This window comes from Homo sapiens, chromosome 5, assembly GCF_000001405.40.
Source record: "Homo sapiens chromosome 5, GRCh38.p14 Primary Assembly".
In the NCBI taxonomy this organism is placed as follows: domain Eukaryota; kingdom Metazoa; phylum Chordata; class Mammalia; order Primates; family Hominidae; genus Homo; species Homo sapiens.
The window spans coordinates 21770556-21790420 of record NC_000005.10 but is presented as its reverse complement, the minus strand read 5'-3'; the positions used below and the strand labels follow the sequence as shown (position 1 = coordinate 21790420).

At 35.8% G+C, this 19865-nt stretch overlaps 1 protein-coding gene across 10 annotated transcripts in view; it reads left to right on the top strand.

Moving 5' to 3' along the window:
- CDH12 (cadherin 12) overlaps positions 1-19865 on the top strand; it is a 1102672-nt gene that overhangs the window by 1062924 nt on the left and 19883 nt on the right. For all 10 annotated transcript variants that reach the window (NM_001364104.2, NM_004061.5, NM_001364106.2 and 7 more), the window contains 1 exon segment: positions 6927-7063. In NM_001364104.2, the coding sequence (NP_001351033.1) occupies positions 6927-7063 (137 nt within the window).

The window sequence follows — 19865 nt, the reverse complement described above, 5'->3', positions numbered from 1 at the left end:
AGGCTGAATGAACTAAAAAATTAAATATGTTTACTGAGCTTGCAAGATATTGGATCCTAGTGGATTGATATACAGAAACACATAACTAAGAGATAAACGTATTATTTGATGTATATATTATGTAAGTCTTTGAATTTTAAACTCGTTATCAAAAATACCTAAAATTACATTTAAACATAACCTGTATATGTGGTGATTCACTGTATGAAGTTAGACTTCTGTTTGAATCAATTTGTTAAATTATAACATATGCTACAAATATTAACTATAAACAAGGTGATCAATTTTCCCAATCTTATCTGGGAAAACTCTTGAGGAGTTTTCTGGGCCTAAAGACACTCACTGTAAAAACTGAGAAAGTCCTCATCAAATCAGAAATAATTGATTGTCCCAAATAAGACAGTCTTAAAGCTCTAAATATGTTCCCTTGATGTAGAAATATGTAACTATTATACAGGCAGGAAGAATAGGATCTGTGCAAAGAATTCAATACAATATTTAAGTGGCAGGTGCTATGTACAAACAACATCCCAGGTCCTTGGCAACACAGAGATGAACAAAGCTAGTCTCTGCTCTCAGGAAATTTAACAAACTTTGGGTAAGTAGGATAATCACGTCACATACACAAAATGTATACAAGCTGTGCTATATTTTCCAACATCTACATAATAATTGAATATTATTAGCATTAAAGAATGATCTGTTCATTGCAGAGATTTTCAAAGATGGAAGTAAAGAAAAGCTTTGAAAAATATCATGCAAGTTAACTGGAATTCACAAGAAAAGAGTATGGGATTTTCAAAAATGAATGGAGTTTCCACTTAATGAATGGCAGCAGGATGCGATCTATAGACACACTCCCCAGTGAAACAAAAATAAATGACATTTGTTTCTTTAAAAAATAAAAGACGCTCATTTACAGTCTCTGGAAAATTTTCTAAGAGCATGCAGCACATAAAGAACAATTTATTCAAGAAAAGCTACTAAAACTTGGTAAGAATAGCAAAAGACAGTGACACTTAACCCAGAACCTGCTCCCCGCTCCCACTCCTATGTCCCAGCTCGGCTTGATACAAATGCCCACCTGGCAGGTGTGGTAAAAAGACATGGTTTCTCTTTCCTTCGCAACCAGTCAAGGGATATAATATCTTACCAGGAGGGGCAGGATGCAAACATTACATAAAACTATAAAAATTAAAAATTGTTACAATGTTTTATTGCACTTGTGACATATATGTATGTAACATATATAATACATACAATTATCACACATAACTACATAGAAGAAACATTTCTATATTTTACTCTAATTTAGTATGAATGTGAATCTGATGAGTTAAGTCATATATGGCAAAACTTAAAGCAGATATTAAGAAAATAAATTATATAATAAAAATCATTAAAGAAATAATTTCACACTAGAAAATATCCACTTATTGTAAAAGAAAGGAGTAGAGAAGAAATACACAAAAAAGACATGAGAAATATAGAAAACCTAAAAATAAAATGGCAAATGCAAATACCATTATATCAATATTAGCTGTTGAATGGGAATGGATTAAACAACCTAATCAAAAGGAAAAGATTATCAAAGAATAAAAACTGATGACTGTATGAAGTGCATGTCTGTGGCTTAATGGTACCAAAGTCAGACAACTTGAAACCTTGATTCTACAAAAACTCATGTGCTCATGAGAAGAGAGAAAGTGATAAAGCAAACGTGGGAAAATACTAACATAATAAGTGTAAGTGAAAGATGTTTGGAACTTTATTGTGCAATTCTTGCAACTTTATTATACATCTGAAATATTTTAAAAATATTAAAAATATATTAAAAACCAGTGATTCCTCTCAGTTGTATTTGAGAGTTTCTAATACAAATCATGCACCAGGGACTACTTATAGAGAAATTAATAGTTTTTTAACTATAATGTATAAGATCTTCCTTGACCTAAATCACTCATTTTTTTCCATGTCATTATGCTTCTCAGATAGTTTTCTATAGTAATTCTGAACAACTGATAGCTCCCTACACCACCTGTGTCGTTTTGCTACTGCTGTTGCAGTTTTCTAAAACACCGTCTATTCCTCCCCTCACTTTTTCTGCTTCAACCTCCTCTTGGATGATTTCCATATAGCCTTCTAATGTCAGCCAAATATCATGTGCAGGAAGGATTGCCTGAAGCACTAGGTTTTACATTCAATGTGTTTTCTTGGCACTCCTGCAAAGCCTTCTCTACTATCTCTCTTTCAGGCATTGAAACAGTCTGTTTATACATGTCTTCCCAACTAAAGTCTTCACTGATGGGCATCATACTTTACTTATTTTTATATGTCTCATCTCTAGAACAATGTCTAGTGTATAGTGGACACTCAGCAAATACTTAATAAATTGAAAAATTGAACACAGTGAGCCTACATCAGCAATTCTTTCAGAAATACTACAGTTAATAAGGAGTTTCAGTGGCAATTTTCTTATTAAATTAGGCATATGGCAAGTTAAATGAGGTGCTATAAAGAAGTATTTTGAGAAATGCTTTCTTGTTCAGAAAAGAATATGCGGTACGGAGAATTAAGCTCATTATATCTCTATGTTTTCTGACCTTTTGGTGTGCCTTAACTTCGTTTTTAATTTTTGAGAGCATTCATGTGAGCTAAGGTACCACACTGAAATTGGAAGACATCAGTGCTTTCTCATTCCTCCAATAAACAGAAGAAATGTCAAAATTAGATTAACAGCGTGGCTCATACTTTATTCTAATAAATATTAAGCATCTTCTGGTTCAGAAATCAATTACAGATATACCCTGGATATATTGCAGGTTTGGTTCCAGACTACCACGATAAAGCAAATATTGCAATAAAGCAAGTCAAACAGTTTTTTCGTTTGCCAGTACATATAAACATCATCTTTACACTATACCATAGTCGAGTCAGTGTGAAATGGAATTATGCCCAAAAAAGTACATGCCTTAGTTAAAAATATTTTATTGCAAAACAAAAAACAAAAACAAAACATTGAAGATCACCTGAGCCTTCAGCAAGTTGTAATCTTGTTTGCTGGTAGAGGGTCTTGCCTTGAACTGGATGGCTACTGACTAATTGGGGTGGTGGTTGTTGAAGGTTGGGGTAGCTAGGGCAATTTCTTAAGAAAAAAATGAGGTTTGCTGTATCAGTCAATTCTTCCATTCACAAAGTATTTCTCTGCAGCATGTGATGCTGTTTTGTAGCATTTACCTACAATGGAACTCCTTTCAAAATTGGAGTCAATCCTCCTAAAACCTGCCACTGTTTATTAACTGTTTATATAATATTTTAATTATTTTGTTATGATTTCAACAATATTCATAGCATCTTCACCAAAAGTAGATTTCATCTCAAGAAACTACCTTGTTTGCTCATCTGTAAGAAGCAAGTCCCCTTTTGTTCAAGTTTTATCATGAAATTGCAGCAATTCAGGCCCATCTTAGGGCTTTACTTCTAATTTCAGTTCTCTTGTTATTTCCACCCCTCTGCAGTTACTTCCTCCATTGAAATCTTGGCCCCTCAAAGTCATCCATGAGGCTTGGAATAACTTCTTCCAAAATCCTGTTAATGTTTATATTTTGACCTCCTCTCATGAATCACCAATGTTCTTAATGGCATCTAAAATGATAAATCCTTTCCATAAGGTTTTCAATTTACTTTGTCAAGAATCATCATAGAAGTCACTATCTTTGGTAGCTATAGCCTTACAAACTGTATTTCTTAAATAATAAGACTTGAAAGTCAAAATTACATTTTTTGTCTATGGACTTTAGAATGGATGTTCTGTTGGCAGTCATGAAAACAACATTCATTTCCTTATACATCTCCGTCTGAGCTCTTGGGTGACTAGGTGAATTGTCAATAAGCAGTAATATTTGGAAAGGATTTTTTTTTTTCCTGAGCTGTGGGTCTCAACAGTAGACTTAAAATATTTAGTAAACCAGCTGGGTGTGGTGGCTCACGCCTGTAATCTCAGCACTTTGGGAGGTACAGGTGGGCTACTCACGAGGTCTTGAGTTTGAGACTAGCCTGACCAACATGGTGAAACCCCATCTCTACTAAAAATACAAAAATTAGCCAGGCGTAGTGGCATGCACCTGTAATCCCAGCTACTGAGGAGGCTGAGGCAGGAGAATCGCTTGAACCTGGGAGGCAGAGGTTGCGGTGAGCTGAGATCATACCATTGCACTCCAGCCTGGGTGACAGAGCAAGAGTCTGTCTTTAAAAAAGAAATTAATAAACCATGCTGTGAGCAGATGTGCTGTCATCCAGGCTTTGTTGTTCCATTTGTAAGACAACAGGCAGAGTAGATTTAGCAAAATTCATAGGGGCTCTAGGATTTTTATAATGGTTAATGAACATTGGCTTCAACTTCAAATCACCAGTTGTATCAGCCTCTACTAAGAGAGTCAGGCTGTTTTTTGAAGCTTTGAAGCCAGGCATTGACTTCTCTCTAGCTTTGAGTGTCCTTGATGGCATCTTCTTGCAATAGAAGGCTGTTCTGTATACATTTAAAATCTGTTGTTTAGTGTAGCCACCTTCATCAATGATCTTATCTAGATCTTTTTGATAACTTGCTGCAGATTCTACATAAGTACTTCCTGCTTTACCTTGCACTTTAATGTTATGGAGATGACTTCTTTCCTTAAACCTCATGAACCAACTCTGCTAGCTCACACTTTTCTTCTGCAGTTTCCTTACTTCTCTCCACCTTCATAGAACAGAAGACAGCTAGGGCTATATTCTGGGTTAGACTTTGGCTTAAAGGAATGTTGTGACTGGCTTTATCTTCTATCCAGACCGCTAAAGTTTCTCTATAACCACAATAAAACTCATTTGCTTTTTAATCATTCCTGTCTTCACTGGAGTAGCACTTTCAATTTCCTTCAAGGACTCTTCCTTTGCATTCACAACTTGGCTGTTTGGCATGAGAGGCCTAGCTTTTGGACTATCTTGGCTTTAGGCATGCCTTCTTCACTGAGCTTAATCATTTCCAGCTTTTAATTAAAAGTGAAATATGTGTGACTCTTTCATTTGAACAGTTAGAGGCCACTGTAGAATTACTACTCGACTTATTTTCGATATTGTTGTGTCTCAGGGACTAGAGAAGGCCCAAGGAGCAGGAGACAGATGGGGGAATAGCTGGTTAGTGAAGCAGTCAGGACACACAACGTTGATTGATTAAGTTTACAATTTTATATGGGTGCAGTTCATTTGCCTCAAAATAATTCACTCTTATTCAAAATAATTTCAATAGTAACATCAAGTATCACTGATCACTGTTCATAGATCACCCTGTTATAATATTAATTAAAAAGTTTGAAATATAATAATTACCAAAATGTGACACAAATATGAAGTGAGCACTTACTGTTGGAAAAATGATGCCGATGAACTTGCTTGACACAGGGTTGCAACAAACTTTCAGTTTGTAAAAACGGCAATAGGAGTGAAGTACGATACAGTGAAGAGCCATGAAATAAGGTATACCTGTACTAACAGATACAGACTAGTGTGGAATGATATATTTCAGATGTATTTCATTTGTAAATGCAGGTGACCTAGAACTGAAATAACATACAAACTGCTACAGTTTCAAATAATCAGCTTGTCAAAATAAATAGTTTTTTATGTTGAGATACACATCGCTTTACTGACTTTTCACAATGAACACTTTCTTTGGAGTGGTGATTCCAAGGGCTGACTAACAATGATGCCATCTGCTTTCAGCCATTGTTTGAAATGATCTCTCTTTGGTTCCAGGCTAGAATAAAATGATGACAAATAATTTGTGTATTGTGCCTTTTGATTAGCAAAATCATTTCCCATAAAATGTTATATTTAAAATTGGTAAGACTGTGTAATAATAATTATATGGGAAACATTGATGACCTGGTTCAAACATCAATCTAAAATTTTCTAACTATGTTAATTTGGACAAATTCCTTCATGTCTCTATGCTTTCTCTTTTCTCATATGTAAGACATATTAATAATACTATTCTGCAGACATTTTTTATTCTCAATGTGTAAGCATTGAGAATAACGTCTATCAAATTGTCATATTTAAAAATGTTAATGATTGTTATGATTGAAAACACATGTTGGAAAAAAATTTCACATAATGCCGATCCATATATCTACTGTTACTTAAAGATTTAAATACATGCATTTTCTATTTTGCTATTCATTTTCTTGGAATTTTTAGTCCAGTTGCTTCACGTAGGGCAACATCCATTATTATCAAATATGTCACATAATAAACAAGATAAAGAGACATCATTATCCAAAGTCACTGTTTTTCTAATGTTGACCTGATATGTAATAAAACATCAATGAAACAACAAAATACATAACAAAATAAAACAACCATGACCGTTTTATATGTGTTTGAGGAAATATTTTTGTATAATTACCAAATTGTCAGTTAAAAAAATTTACCGTTTGTTTCCATGATGTTATTTTTTCTATCTCTGGAAACAAAGATTCTACCTCTGTTTTGACCTGGGTTCTTTGTAGTTGTTTCCAGTGCTTCTCTCAACCCCATTTACACAGTCATAGCCACTGTTAAGGAATTTTTTACTGCTTGAAAAAGTTTTAATATTCAGCAGGTTAAGGAAACTCATGGTCAGCTTTAGAATTTTAGTCTCTGCTGAGCTTTCAAGGTGTCAAGGCCCTAAAATAATATGAACAGCAGGAGTACTAAATCTTTTATTATTTCCAGTTTCCCCTTGAGCATACTGACTTTGCAATAAAGAAGCTGTCATTTACAGTCTTCTTTATTGCAAGGTGGGTAATAGCTACAGGGAGAAAAATAAGGAACTGTGTCAAGTTAGCCTAAGTGCCATTATGATTAATGTGTAATCATTGCACATTTGCATCTACTCTTTTCATATACAGGTACTTCATAGATTGGAAGAGTGATGGGGACAGCTACTTTACAATAGATGGAAATGAAGGAACCATCGCCACTAATGAATTACTAGACAGAGAAAGCACTGCGCAGTATAATTTCTCCATAATTGCGAGTAAAGTTAGTAAGTATGGCATGGACAGAATCAATGTTATACTGCAGTTCTTTGGATTTAAGACTCTTAAATGAGTCCCTGCTGAGATGTTTTTCATTTTTGGACTGACAGCTGAGTGGTCTCGCGGGGAAACTCAGAAACCTATTCCTTTTCCTCAGAGCATAAGTCCAGAGAAATTGTGACAGCTGCCAATGAGTCCTGTTTGCAGTATTGCATGAATATCTAGTAGTGCATTTCATTGTGTGACCTCATCCTGTTCTATGCTTTACCCTCAAAAATTCACCCGAGTTTTAATTTCTCTTCCACACAGTTTCCTTTTACATATCATTGGGTATTTCACAGGGCCAGGTGAGGGGAAATAATTATCATGTAAAATCACCCATTCTGAAATATTTTCTGACATCAAAGAGAGTATTTAAAAACTCATACATCTTCCTTTTCTCTCCCTTTATTCAAATTTATTTTTGATGACTATCACTATGGAATATACAGGAGTTTCAATTGCAGTTCTTCAAGGAGTGGCTCAAAATGTTTATTATTATTAGGAATTATTTGTTGAGTTGGTTTCTGCTTGGTTCAGAAAAGAATCCTCTAGACTGAGTGATTATAGGTTTTATTTGTTTGGCAGAACGATCAAGGTTATTATCACAACTTTCTCAAGTAATGGATCAGGGTGAAAGTGGTGACGTTTGGCTCTTGAGATAATTGTTCTTAATAAAAGTGCAGCTCCCCATTCCTTTTACTTATGGTCTCTTGAAACGTTTGGAAAAATCTCAACTGAATCTCTTCCATTTGCTTCCTTCTTCTTTTATTTTGTGCATCTGGTGCAAATTTATAACACTTTAGCAGCTAATTCCCACTTTCCATGCAGGGAATAGCTGTGAGCATTTCTGCTGAAGGGTTTTGATCAGTCCAACTCAGTGGGAATGTAAACATCAAACAGTTTTGTTTGTCTTCAACAACTCCGAACAAACATGAATAGTCAGATACCCATTCCCACATCTTCGTGATATCTTTAGCTGATCCCATTACTTTTAGTTTATTTTGATTATTAAAAGTAAGTCTAACATAAAAGATCACGCAGCTTCTGCCTTGCTCGTTGGAACACTTAGAGTTCCAAAGTGTCATGTAAGAAGTCTGACTACCCAGAGGCTGCCATACTAGAGAGGCCACGTTGCGGTGCTCAGGTTGACAATTCCAGCTCAGCTCTGCCTTCCAACCATACCTCCCAGTGTTCTGGAAATGTGAGTGATGCTGTCTTTGAGCTTCTAGTCCAGTCCACTGTACTAGTGGGATACCACAGTGTAAAGTTCATCAATGCCATGTGAAATGGAATATTAGCCCAGTCAAATCCTGCCCAAATTCTTACCCACAAAATTGTAATAAATATGAAAAATTATTTGTCACAATTTTACAATATTTCACATTTATTAAAAGTAACTACATTTTGATGTCTGCTGATACATGGGAACAGATATCTGAAGAACTCAAAGACATAATCAGAACTTTCATTCCTTCGGGGTGGGGCTACTGATTCCCAGTTTCTTGCAATAGAAAGGAAAGGAAAATTTTTAAAATGCATAAATCTCTATGAATATAGTGCCAATATAGTGCTCCATTGGTTGCCACTTTTTTTTTTTTTGAGATAATAGTCTCACTCTGTCACCTAGACTGGAGTGCAGTGGTGCAATCTCGGCTCACCGCAACCTCCGCCTTCTGGGTTCAAGCGATTCTCCTGCCTCAACCCACCGAGTAGCTGGTATCACAGGCATGTATCATCGCACCTGGCTAATTTTTGTATTTTCAGTAGAGACAGGGTTTCACCATCTTGGCCGTGCTGATCTCGAACTCCTGACTTTAGGTGATCCACCTGCCTCGGCCTCCCAAAGTGCTGGGATTACAGGAGTGAACCACCGTGCCTGGTCTGGTTGCCGCTGTTTTTAGGGCTAAAATGGAATGGCAGTAAAGACAGTTGTTCAAATGCTAATTCTTATGTAATTTTGTGAATTATTTGCTGTTGGGGGCTCTGGGTGTCCCCTCCGCATAGGAATCTGACATGGGCACCCAGTGGTAGACCTTATAACTTCTTAATTCTAGAGGCCCCTTGCTTAGCAGGCAGGCTTTTTGGGTAAATTGACAGCACGGTTTCTCAATTTTAGCTCCTTTCTCCTGTGTCCAGCTGACCATGGGAAATTCACTCATCTTTATGATGTTAAAACAGGTGCGTTATAGGTTGCCACTATATTGCAGGTTTCCTCTGCCTTGCCGTCTTCTTTCATATCTGCCCTCTTTGGGCAGTTAGGCTTGGGATGATCAGTGAGTTAGCTACCAAGCAGTCATATTATAGGGAGAAGAGAATGACAGTCTCCCCTTCTTGAAGGGCTCCCATCCTCATTCTCTTTGTTTTCCCCAAGTCTCCTTTCACACCTGGCATCTATCTCCCCTCCCATACCACATTCTATTATAGTTACATATGTTTTCCTCATTCATTTCATGCTTTCATTTATTTCATTTATGCAGAATTTGGGGACAGCTAAAATATATCATAATTTTAAAAATCCACTTTCGTTTTATAAGATCTTTGAGAAATAATATGGTGAAAATGAGTTGTCTAAGTTACAGAATAGAAGACCTCTGTGAACCATGTTACTTTCACTCCAGTGGTGGGGATACAATAAATGACAACTGACCAGAGGTAGTCTCTTCAATAACTTCTACTTATCATAAACATGTTGTCCATAATAAAAGATTATTCAGTAGAAAACTATCTAATCTAACCTAAACCTTCCTATTCATACACACATGAAACAGGTGCATGTTTCCTTGATGTAGGCATAATAGGCTTGTGTGCCTTAACTCTAGATGGATGTCTCAGACAGTTTATTGATTGCTTCTGCTGTAGCTGTGGCAGGTCTCTTTCTTTCCAATGGCTCCTTGGGTTATCAAAGCAATTATGGGATTGAAGACACTCATAACGATAAGGTCTAGTGTCTCCTTTCAGAGCCTTGAGCTTCAACAATTTAGAAAATGGAAGGAAGTATGAACCTTTATAGTGGAAGCAAGTGTTATTAGTCCCTGAAAGTTTAGATCTTAGAATCCTAATTTGTTAGTTATTAATATGATTGGTGCATATGCGGGCTCTGTCACACTACCAGCTGCTGGCTACAGTTTTTACCTAAATGAAAATCAGGAATCCACAGGGTATGGAGGCTAATAAGTTATGTTGCTCCTCACTGGGTCATAGGCAGAACTGGGACTTAGACAAATTAACAAAATATATGCACAATCTAAGAGTGATACCAAACTAATATTCCTAAAATGGACTTCTGGTTAATTCCACTATCTACTCAGTGGCCAATGTAAAGATATTAGAACCATAAAGGAAATCGGGTATGACAAAGACTGTATATCTGTATGAAAAATAAAGAGGCTAAACACTATCAAGTGGTAATTAAAGATTCTATAAGAAGAGTAGGTAATCATAGGTTTTTATTTTGTTTGAATGCACAGCTTAAAAGTAAACTTTATTCATATTCTAATGCCTAAGACTGTCTTCCTTGATCACACTAGCCAGCTGAACAGGGAATATCATCACCGTGAATAAATGAGAAATGAATAGCCCACACTTGCCCTGCCAAGAAGAATGAAATTGCTTAAGTATACCTTATTGCAAATTGAACTAGCATATGTTTTGGCTCTGACCCTTTTATAAAAACTCTCAGGTGAAATGAAATGGCACGATGATTGAACAACTTTCAATTAATTAAAAAGCAGTCATTAATCAGTGTTGCTATAGTTGGAGGTCCAAATAATTTTATTAGACTTCTAATAATTCTTTTATGCATTACTGCTTTGCTGTTTTTATTATATTAACCTTGAGTATTTTCAATGAGACAGAGACTCCAAACTTTACTTCATTCAAATTATCAGAAAGTTTCAACAGGCAAATGTTTCTAGGATTTTTGTGTTACTTTAACAAATGTCATTAATTAAAGATAACTAGCCAGACAGGATGGCTTGCAACTGTAGTCCCAGCTACTCAAGAGGCTGAGGTGGGAGGATCACTTGAGGCCAGGAGTTCAAGACCAGTCTGAGCAACATACTGAGACCTGTCTCAAAAAAGAAAAACAAAATTAACAAAAGGAAAAAGAAAGTGAATAAATAAATAAATATAACTAAACATAACTTCACTAAATCCTTAGAATATATTTTATATGATTATAAAATAAAAAGGTGATACCAGAGACAATGCTTTTCTTGGTCCTATTAGTTATCAAGATGGCAGTGCATTGGTCCCATTTATTGTGGAATAAGTTAAAAAAAAACAGTGAATTCCCTTACTAAATGCTATATTGAAAAAAGTTTACATATAATTGTATCATTATGAGTTGTGATAAAGTTGTTAGATAATTAATTTTTAAGGTTATCTTCTATATAGCTATTTTATGTTGTAACTTTTTAAAATTTCACATGAAGTAATATTATCCTTATATGTACAGAAAATCAAATTTCAAGATTGGTACCTATAATTCAGATTCAACATAAATTCATGCATTTTTTGGTATCACCTGTATAGAGTACTATCTATGAGCAAAACATTATTTGTTGTGGGTTAGGAGAAAACTGATTAGGAATGATATCTATTCTTAAGGGCATTACAATTTAGTAGTAGTTATAAGTTGACCAGATTTGTAAATTTTGGTAAGTAATAACTGTGCAAATTATGCTGAATTCCAGGGAAATTAGATTTAAGTGAACTGTCATATAAACTTCAGAGGGTGGTTGCAAAAATTTAGGACTGATGACAATATGGTCATGAAGAATTTAAACAAAAAAAAAAAAAAATAGAGATTTTTCCGGCAGAATCGTCTGAAGTTTTTTTTTTTTTTTTTTTTTTTTTGGCTTATATGCCAAATTGTCAGCTCTGGAATGATATTATCACAACATATGAGAAGTGAGTACCTAATTTTTCTAGAATAACATTAACAATATAATAAAGTAATAAACTATATTAATAGCTTTCTATGCATTAACTCATCTGATCCTTTCAATGAACCTGCAGAGTGAGTGTTCTTGTTCACATTGTGGGCATGAGGAATGGACTTTCAGAGATATTTTGTCTGTAGCTCAGTGTCACACAGCTAATGATGACCAGGCTCGGACCAACACCCTGGAGTCTCTCATTCCAGAACACATTCTGAGGATGAGACTGACAACAATTTCACAGGGAACATATTCACCATGTTTCATTTATTTATTTTAAATACTTTAGGGGTTGTGATTGGGAGATGTTGCTCAAGTAATGAAAACATTTGAGTTAGATAGGAGGAATTAATTCAAGAGATCTATTGTACAACATGGTGACTATAGTTAATATATTGTATTCCTGAAAAATTCTGACAGTGGATATAAAATGTTTCTACAAAAATTATAACTATGTGAGGTAGTGCATATGTTAATTAGCTAGATTTACTCATTCTACAATGTATATATACTTCAAAACAGTGTATTGTACATGGTAAATACATACAGTTGTATCTGTCAGTTAGAATGTTAACTTAAAAATGTTAGTGGTAGGCTGGGCATGGTGGCTCATGCCTGCAATCCCAGCACTTTGGGAGGCCAAGGCAAGAGGATCACTTGAGGTCAGGAGGTCAAGACCAGCCTGGCCAACATGGTGAAATCTTGTCTCTACTAAAAACACAAAAATTAGCTGAATATTGTGGCGGGCGCCTATAATCCCAGCTACTCGGGAGGCGGAGGTTGCAGTGAGCCGAGGTCATGCCACTGCACTCCAGCCTGGGTGACAGAGTGAGACTCTGTCTCAAAAAAAAAAAAAATGTTAGTGGTAACAATTATCAAAGTAATTTCCATTGCATAGATAAATAATAACATAGTAAAAAAGACTAAATATTTTTATTTGCAATGTACATATAGTTGAAGTGAAATACGTATTTATTATCTATCTATATTTAAGCTTATTAGAGGGCTTACATATCAAAATTCAATAGAAATTTGCATTTTAGAAAGAAAAAACAGAGACTCAGAATAGAAAAATATGTGTGTGATATTATGTACATAACAGTGGTATAGTTAGGTAGATTTCTATCTATGCTCAATAAATGTGAATTACCAGGATCTCAAGCTACAGTAAGAGTTCCTAATAACTTAATTGTGAAGGATCTTTTTTGATAATTTCCCTTGTACATTGAAAGAGTTTGTCTACCTGACATCATACTCTTATTTAAGCAATATTTATTAAATAACTTTATGTTTAATTAATCAGAGTGACAATTTGATCAACATAATAGCACACTTAGTTGATATAATTACAAAATGATGTGTCCATTAACCTTATAATGAAATGATATGTAATATCTAATATACCAGACTTTTTGAAATATTGAAAAAATACAGCCTCATTATCAATAATTTCTCAATACCTCAGTTGGGAACTGATGAACAAAAACATACTTGGTAGTTATGATATGCAAACTATGTGTTTTTCACCTTGTGCTCAATGGTGCCATCACAGGTCCTGTCTTGGGGTGACTCAGTGATGAGAATTAGTTAAGACACACAAGACGTATTAACTAATGTAGACCTTCAAAATCAGGGCAGGGTGTGGGAAGGAATAAGACTTTCTGGCAAATATGTTCAATGATGCAGGCAGCATATGGCACTCTCAATATGGTGCCCTTGAATAAGGCAATCTTAATTATAAATGGGGTGGAGGATGGCACATAAATAGAAGATGAAGTCACAAATATCCTAAAAATAGGTGGAGCATAATACTGGTAATCGGAAGTGGATCATATTTAGATTTTAAGGGTAGAAAGACAGCAACATTTCTTTGAAAGATGTTCTCAGGTACTACACTGCTATTCACGAACAGGTCTTCAATTCTTGGGGAGGAAGAGTGCAGGAACTTAGAAGAAAAACCTACTCTTTATGTATGAGGTATTAGTTACTTATGCTATGTTACAAATTTGGTAGTTTAAACAACATGTATTATTTTACAGTTAGGAGAGTTAGGAATCCATTTATGGTGAATCTTTGTTCTCTAAGGTTTCTCTTGTAAGACTGCAATTAAGTTGACTCAGTGGTTGATAGCAAGATTCAGTGTGCTTGTAGGCTGTTGGACGAGCAACTATTCCACACTGCTGTTTGATCCGAAGCTGCCCTCAGTTTCCAGCCACAGGAGCATCTCCATAGAGCAGTTTGTAACATGGCAGCTGGCATGATCAAAATGAGCAAGAGAAAGAGAAAGTGCCAGCAAGATGAAAGTCAGCTTTTTATAACTTAATGTCAGAAATGACATCTCCTCTTTTCCCACATTCTCTTTATTGGAAGCAAGCCACTAGCTTCAGACCATACTTAAAGGAAAAGAGTTACATGAGGGTGTGAATATCAGGAGGTGGGGATCGTTGGGAGCCATTATAGAAGCTTGCCTACCATATGGGCTCTTGGCAATCAGACAAGTCAATTGAAAAAAGAGAAAAAATTAGAAACCATATTTGTTGGCCTCTAGGCACTGAAAATGTCAAGAGAAATGCAACAATCTGGCTAAATACATTAAATATAAAATCAAAATTCAGAGTGCTCCCAGAAAGAATATAATAAGTAATTATTTTTTTAAAAAAAATTACTTTGAAGACCTAAACATAGTGTCACATAGGAAGCTCCATATGAGTTAAGGATTTAAAATATTAAAAAAAAGAAAATCATCATGGAAGGAAGGATGCCATTCTAGGTTGAAGAAACATTTTAAGCAAAGGCATAGCTATGAAAAGTCATGTTGAGGTCAGATATTGCAAGCAGTGTGGTATAGTTGCTGTCAAGGAGTAGACATTCAGAGAGGAGGCTGAGGCTTCATTCAACAGAGCCTTAAAAGACTTGTGAGAATCTGCAGTTTTTCAGGTGCGACTAAGAGTCTGCCCTCCTTCTCATTCTATCTCCTCTACCTGTGTGCCCCCAGCTTACTATGGATCCAAAGAAGCATTTCACTTCTCCAACTTTTCCTATCTGTTCCTAGGCCTGCATTTCTGTGAACAAGCACTGATTGGCTTACAGTGTATTCACCTGGGTGACTATATAGTTAACCTTACGAGAAACAAAGTGACAAAGAGGTGTGGATTCTTTGTGGTGTTTGGGCAGAAATATTCTCCTTAATTTGGCCAGACTTGTTTTCAAAAAAGGTATTAATAGTTCTATTCGCTTTGAGAATAGGCATCCTTGGTTTGGCCTTTATCTTCTCTACTGGCCTTCCTCAATGTGAATCACAGCCACCTGCATCAGAGACACCTGGAACATTTCCTAAAGGGAAGATTCTTCTACCTCTTTCAAGTCATGGTGAATCAGACTTTCTGGGAGTACTGCCAAGAAATCTCCATTTCAAACAAGCTCCCTGAGTAACTCCAAGGAACACTGATTTGGGACCCACTGTGTCATTCTCAAATTTTAGTAAACAAAAGAGTGGAATCAGTTACCATGAATATATGTACTTACTCAAAGACTGTAGTTGACTTTTCAGGACTAAACATAACCATTGGTTTCAATTCCAAATTGATGTCAATCCTTTCTTCTTTCAATTGCCCAAATTATTGCTTTCCTCTTATTTTTCGTAAATGCCTTGTTTTACATGAGTGTAGGTAGTTTATTTACTGTGTTCTAATTTCCTTTCTTTTTCCCAAGTAACTATATAAAACTATTTTGTATTCTCAAAGAAAGATAAGTGTGGCTTATACTAGAATTGCCAATATTTTATTAGTACTTGTATATTAGGGTTCTTTAAAGGGACAGAACTAATAAGATAGATGAATGTATGAAAAGGAGTTTATTAGGGGAAATGACTCACATGATCACAAGATGAGGTCCCACAATAGACCATCTGCAAGGTGAGGAGCCAGGAAGCCAGTCGGAGTCCCAAAACCTCAAAAGTAGGGAAGCCAATAGTGCAACCTTCAGCCTGTGGCAGAAGGACCGAGAGTCCCTGGTAAATCACTGGTCTAAGTCCAAGAGTCCAAAACCTGAAGAACTTGGGGTCTGATGTTTGAGGGAAGGAAATATCCATCCAGCACAAGGGAATGATGAAGGCAGGAAGACTCAGTGAGCTTATTCCTTCCACGTTCCTCTGCCTGCTTTTGTCCTAGCCACGCTGGCAGCTGATTAGATGGTGCCCACCCAGACTGAGGGTGAGTCTGCCTCTCCCATTCTACTGACTCAAATGTTAATCTGCTTTGGCAACACCCTCACGGACACACCCAGGAACAATGATTTGCATCCTTCAGTCCAATCAAGTTGACACTCAGTATTAACCATCACAAGTCTACCCTTTGTCAACTTGAACCCACACACATCTCCTGAAATCATACATAATCACCAAATGAAGACAATAATAAGGTCATAATTATGCCTAACATAGTACAGTTATCCTTCTTACAACCAGAAGCACACTAATCATTAACCTAAATGCTATTATATAAAGTTAACAACATTTAAATGCTGATATGAAGTCAATAAATCTTATGTCACATGATAAAGAAAAAAAGGAAATAAAGATATTTTCTTAGTACAACTGTATACATGTACAAACATGTTCTTAACAAAATAAGGGTGAATATTCCTTAGTAGATGAATTCCTTAGTAGATGAATATCTGAAGGGGAGTTTATTAAGATAATTGATTCACAGGATCACAAGGTGAAGTCCCACAACAGGCCATCTGCAAGATGAGGAGCCAGGAAGCCAGTGCAAGTCTCAACACCTCAAAAATAGGGAAGGCAATAGTTGCAGCGTTCAGTCTGTGGCTGAAGGCCCAAGAGCCCCAGGGAAATCGCTGGTGTAAGTCCAAGAGTTTATAAGCTGAAGAACTTGGAGTCTGATGTTCGAGGGCAGGAAGGATCCAGCACAGGTGAAAGATGGAGGCCAGAAGATTCAGCTTGTCCAGTCCTTCCGCGTTCTTCTGCCTTCTTTTATCCTAACCCCACTGGCAGTTGATTAGATGGAGGCCCACCTGAATTGAGGGTGGGTCTGCCTCTTTCAGTTCACTGACTCAAATGTTAATCTCCTTTGGCAACACCCTCATAGACACATCCAGGAACAATATTTTGAATCCTTCAATCCAATCAAGTTGACACTCAAATTAACCATCACAACTTTGAAGAGTAGTACTTCGAAGAAAGAATCACTAATGAGGTTTTCACATCATTTCGTAAAGCACTGTAATGTATCATATACATCGGAAATAATAATCATTAACATCACCATAATCATCAGTGTAATTTAGAAATAATACCATTTTTCTCATTATTATATGCTATGTAAATGTAATGAAATCCAAATTTGTATTGTGATAGACTGTATTTTATCTTAAATTTTCAACTGCTTTTGCGTACATTACTGTAATCAAACTGCTTAAGAATACTTTAAATCAATCTAATTGCTCCATCAAAATCACATGTACAACTATAATGCCAGGCTTATATTTTTCTTAATTAGTATCTGATTATCACAGGAAATTAAAACTACATGATGAACTTTTCACCTAAAGGTTGAAATTTGGATAAAAATTATATTTAGACATGTAGATAAAATTCTTTTTAATATCACATGCAAGAGAGAATTCACAATTAGAAAATGTTTTTACATGGAATTGTTATCTTGTTGACATCATATACTATATCATATTGAATCAATTACTATAGGAATAGATTCAATATGATATAGTATATGATGATACTTACAAGTTCATACTTCTTAGTATAAACTTCTTAGTATCAAAGATTCTATTTGGGCCAGGCACGGTGGCTCACACCTATAATCCCAGCACTTTGGAAGGCCAAGGTCGGTGGATCAATAGTAAGAAGGTAAAAAGATATTTTCGTTGGCAGAAATAGCATACATCAAGCTCTAGAAATGGAATAAAGCATAAAATATTCCGAAAAATATGCAGGATTTCAGAATAGGAAAGAGAAAAGAAACCAAGGATAAGTACAAGGTAAAACTCTCTCTGTGGTCTCTGTGCCTCTGTCTCTCACTATCCCCTTTGCCTCCCAATAATGAAGAAAATCCAGATGACAAATATGATTTTTTTTCTCAGCATGTTCTGATATTTTGATTTTTATCCTGAAGCAAAGAGGTACACATTGAGGAGATATAATCAAAGACAGAACTTGATCTTACCGGTACTTTTGAAAATTTATGTTGGTTACAGTGTAAACCAAAAATAAAATTCTAAGCCCAACAACTCACTGAATGGACCTCTCCTCTCAACCAAGAGGATTCCAAAGTAAATCTGAAAAACTTAGCTCAGGCTATGATGATGGGAAGGGGAGTCGAACATGTCTCACAATACTCTGTTCCTTTTGGAAATCAGGCACAACTGATCAGCAATAACATTGAAACAAAGATCTTACGAATGACAAAACAGACTCTTTGTAGCAATAAGATACCAAATTTCATCCTGACTCTAGTGACATCACATGACACGACAGATAGCTAGGCCCTAAAAGGAATCAAAGTAATTTACTCCAAAATATATTTATTTGACATATTTTGAAATGGGCCTGCAATGCTATTTCTCATGGGGGAAAATTTACATTCTGTACATCGTTTTCTTTCTTTTTCAGGTCTTTTCCTGATCCTGGAGAGATGTAACTAAGAATCTAGTACCTTTTTGGGTCTGATAAGAGACATTTAGCATCTATTCTCTCTGAAGCCTTCTACCTAGAGGCTTCATCTATATAATAAGAGCCTTGGTCTCCACAACCCCTAATCTTAACCCAGACACTCCTTTTTATTGATTCCAGGTCCTTAAATAATAACTTAACACTCTCAACCAATTGCCCATCAGAAAATCTTTGAATCCACCTTTATGGAATCACAGAAGTATATTGGTGAAGAAATTATCTTTATGGATTCCCCAGACTAGCTACAGATTATATTAGACATGATATAATTTAATGTGCCATTTAAACATAACTGAACTAAAGAGAAAAGTCAAAGAAAGCCTGTGTCAACCTATATCATTCATTTATTATATCTTACTGAGTTTGCACTAGTATAATTCAGTTTCATGGCATAAAAGGCTAAGATTCCATTCTAGAAGTTATTGTAGTTGTAATTTAGAACACAGTCACACAATTGAATTTTAACTTTAAAAAAAAAAAACTTTCATTTTAGGTTCAAGGGTACATGTGCAGATTTGTTATGTATGTAAGTTGCATATCATGGGAGTTTGACATACAGATTATTTTGTCACTAGGTAATAGTTTTTTGATCTTCACCCTCCTCCCACTCTCTGTCCTCAAGTAGGCCCTGATGTCTATTATCCCTTCTTTGTGTTCATATGTACTCAAAGTTTAGTTCCCACTTACAATTGAGAACATGTGGCATTGGGTTGTCTGTTCTTAGGTTAGTTTGCTTAGGATAATGGCCTCCAGCTCCACCCAGGTTTCCGCAAAGGTCATGATCTTATTCTTTCTTATGGCCCCATAGTATTCCATTATGTATATGTGCCACATTTTAAAAATCCAGTCTACCATTGATGGACATTTGGGTTTATTCTGTGTCTTTGCTATTGTGAATAGTGCTGCAATGAACATACATGTGCATGTGTCCTTATGGTACAACAATTTATATTCTATTGGCTATGCACCCAATAACGGGATTGCTGGGTCGAAGAGTAATTCTGTTGTAAGTTCTTTGAGAAATCACAATACCGAATTTTAACTTTTTTTTTTTTTTTTGAGATGGACTTTTGCTCTTGTCACCCAAGCTGGAGTGCAATGGCACAATCTCAGCTCACTGTT